This window comes from Homo sapiens, chromosome 8 (assembly GCF_000001405.40).
Source record: "Homo sapiens chromosome 8, GRCh38.p14 Primary Assembly".
Lineage (NCBI taxonomy): Eukaryota > Metazoa > Chordata > Mammalia > Primates > Hominidae > Homo > Homo sapiens.
This window is the reverse complement of record NC_000008.11, coordinates 18,277,910-18,281,654: the sequence shown is the minus strand read 5'-3', so window position 1 is coordinate 18,281,654 and position 3,745 is coordinate 18,277,910. Positions and strand designations below refer to the sequence as shown.

At 38.7% G+C, this 3,745-nt stretch overlaps 1 annotated feature.

The window, feature by feature from the left end:
- Positions 581-875: a silencer, noted in NCBI's record as "tiled region #9780; HepG2 Repressive non-DNase unmatched - State 23:Low, and K562 Repressive non-DNase unmatched - State 24:Quies". NCBI's record gives its function as "represses a minimal TATA promoter and a strong SV40 promoter by Sharpr-MPRA in HepG2 and K562 cells {active_cell/tissue: HepG2 | K562}" and the evidence as "EXISTENCE:reporter gene assay evidence [ECO:0000049][PMID:27701403]".

Sequence of the window (3,745 nt, the reverse complement as noted above, 5' to 3'; positions counted from 1 at the left end):
ATCATTTTTTGTGGGGAAATACAGAATGACTGCCAAAAAGTTGCTTTCCAAGAATATTAGTTTCCAGATTTCAAATACCTTTGTCACCTAGGGGCAATCATAACAAATACTTTACAGATAAATTAGAGCAAGCTTGTTCATCCTGAGGCCCATGAGCTGCATGTGACCCAGGATTGCTTTGAATGTGGCCCAACACAAATTCGTAAAGCTTCTTAAAACATTGAGTTGTTTCTTTTTTTTGTTTGTTTGTTTTTTGTCATTGGCTATCGCTAGTGTTTCATGTATTTTATGTGTGGCCCAAGAGAATCCTTCTTTTTCCACGTGGCCCAGGGAAGCCAAAAGATAGGATATCCCTGGATTAGAGCATTCCAGGAATTTGTCAATGCCCTCACTAATCCAAGTAAGTTATTGCCCTCAGGGTAATATTGGATCAAATTCTTATGAAATAGTTACGTCAAAGGATTAGAACCGTGATGACGAGAGGTCTCCAGTTACCCTCCCCTTTGATGTTTACCTCCTTTACCTCTTTATTGCTCCCCGTTTCTTTCTTCCACCTTGAATCTTGATTTACTAAGTGCATTAGTTCTCTATTACTCCATAACAAATTACTACAAATTCAACATCTTAAAATAGCACCCACTTATTATCTCACAGTCCCTGGGCCAGGAGGGAAGATACAGCTTCAGTGAGTCATCTGCTTAGCGTTTCACGAGGCTACAGTTAAAATGCCAGAGAGGCTGCAGTGCCAGATGAAGGCTTGGCTGGGAGATTGTACTTGCAAGCTCATGATGGTTATTGGCAGAATTCAGTTGCTTGAGGCCATGTCTTTGAGGTCCCCATTTTCTGGCTAGCTGCCATCTGAGTTCTGCTCACAACTCATAGAAGCCATGCTCAGATCCTTGCCACATGGCTACCTCCATTGTTCCTTCACAACACATCAGCTTGCTTTTTAAGTCCCCAGGACAATCACCCCTGCTTTGAGTCTCTTTTGAAGGGCTTATGTGATTAGGCCAGCCCACCCAGAATGATTTCCTTTTGATTAAATTAAAGGGAGTAGATGAAGAGCTTTCATTACATTTTCAAAATCCCTTCACCTTTGCCACATCACATAACCTAGTCACAGGAGTGACATCTACCATATTCATCATCTCACCCACCCTCAAAGAGGACTGTGCACCCCTATGGGTGGGATTCTCATGGACCATTTTAGAATTCTGCCTGCAACATCAACAAGCCACAAGACTTTGAAAAAACAGCTCTTGAAAAATGCTGTTCTAATAGCTATTGGGATGAGACTCTGCCAATATAACAGGCATGAAAAACTAGAACATTCTCCAGCTATTCCAACTACAAGTTTCATAGCAATTAGAGACAAAAACCTGAACCAAACTACAAGGACACTTAACTTCTCCTTTCTCTTCACCCTATAAAATTCCAATCCTGTTTGACTCTGGGAGTTACGTGGCCTTCAGGGGCTTTGTGATGTGCATTAGCTGAAAAGAAAGCTTTAGCCTCTATTTGAGTCACTTAAACTACTTTCTTGTGAAAACGATAACCTATTAGAGTAGCCTACTTTCTTCTGTTTGATGTTGTTGGTTAGTCGTCTAATAAAAGTCATAACTAAAACCAGTTTCAGTCTTGTCAAGAACAGATTTCTAATCTTCCCTCACACCTACTCAAAGGTGTCAGCTATAAGCTATGTGATAGAAATGGAAACTTCTAGAAGAAAGCAAAAGAAGAATAATCTCAGATGCTTAATGAAAGGACTGGAGCAGATATTCTTGAGTTTTGACACTGTAGGAAATAGACTTATGGGCACAGCCTTTCAAGTGTTAGCTAAAATGATTGACACCGTGAATGGACACTTGGCAAACTGCATTAAAGTACATGTGGGACAAGATACTCAGAACTGCTTTAGTCTCCCAAGGCAGTTGAATAAGCAAAGTCGACTGCGTTCTAAGGTCAGTGGAACAAGAGTACAAGAATTGTAGTTATTTATTTTAAAAACATAATTCTGTTTCCTGATAGGCAAAGAAACCCTTCGCCTTTCTTCTTAATGATCCCAACCTTCAATTTAGCAAGCTATACTTATGCAAACTGGAATGGAACTATTTGGTATCTTATTTCAACTGAATGCTCAGAATTCAGAGAAAATATTCTATAATAAATCTAATATAGGTTATAAGGAAATCATTGAACAATGATGACTCTAGTAATGAAATTCAGAACAATGATTTTAAAATGGATAAGGCTTTGAAAAATTACTACTACTTCTTGTTGACTGCCATGAAGCTAAATTTTACTTATTCAGCTACTATTCATAGGTAAACAAGCCTTTTGGTGATAGTACCACTGGTGTAAAATAGGATGATTTTGTGGTATATATGATTTATTTGGATTGTCCATATCTGCAAAACTGCTTATAATAAAACATTGTACAAGATGCCTTTACAAAATCTCTTGAATTCAATGGCATGTAAGTATTTGCAAAGATTGAATAGGAATCTTTATTCATCACTAGGACATACAGTCATGTGCTGTATGTGGTGGACCATATATGTGACAGTGGTCCCGTAAGATTATAATTCTGTATTATTACTGTACTTTTTCTCTGTTTAGATGTATACTTACCATTGTGTTACAATAGCCTACAGTATTCAGTACAGTAATGTGCTGTACAGGTTTGTAGCCTAGGAGCAATAGGCTGTCTCATCTAGCCTAGGTGTGTAGTAGCCTATATCATCTAGGTTTGTGTAAGTAGACTACGATGTTTGCACAGTGACAAAATTGCCTTATGATACACTTCTCAGAATGTATCCCCATCATTAAGTGACACATGACTGTAATTTGATAAACCAAATTTATAATCAAGACCATGACAGAAATGTCACATTAAAGGTTGCTCTTAATGAAGAATTGCCCACTTTTAAAGAACAGGAATTATGCTTCATATATGGACGTTCTGCCTCAAAGTTCTCCTAGAAATTTGGCCTAGTATGTGAACTAGGGCTTATCAGGCTAGCCTGATAGGCCAGGAACACTGTCAAACTCTGGAGATCTTGAAGAAGGAGGGATTTCTGGACAGTTAGATATTGAAGTTTAAACTTGTTAGAGGTGAATTGGATGTTCATGGACTCACACAAGCTGAGAGGAGCAATGAAAATATTTATGGAAGATTGATGATATAAAAAAATGACCTTAGGGGTATTACTAGATCCCAAGACAGAAATTAATTTTGTAGCCTTAGTATTGTGTTATTTTTGTTAGCCATACGGCAACAATGTTATTATGTATTAGTCAACATTAAAATAATACCATGCAAGAAAATTGCTGAACAAACTTGATTGGTTAAATCCTTCCCTTAGGCTACTAAGTAGAGAGTCTCCGAAAAAAAAACTGTTGTCCTGCCATTGGGTAAGCAAACACAGCTGGGAAAACTCTTATATTCCCAAAAGCTTTTCATTCTGTGAAATCCATGAGGACAGGAAGCTCATAAAAGCCGTCGATAACAGGGGCTTTCTCAATGTCATGCTGCCTGAGATCTAATTTTTAAAAAATCAAAATGGATTGAAGGCTGCACACAGTCACTCACGCCTGTGTTCCAAGCACTTTGGGATGCCAAGGCAGGTGGATCGCCTGAGGTCAGGAGTTCGAGACCAGCTTGGCCAACGTGGTGAAACCCCGTCTCTACTAAAAATACAAAAATTAGCCAGGTGTGGTGGTATGCGCCTGTAGTCCCAGTTAC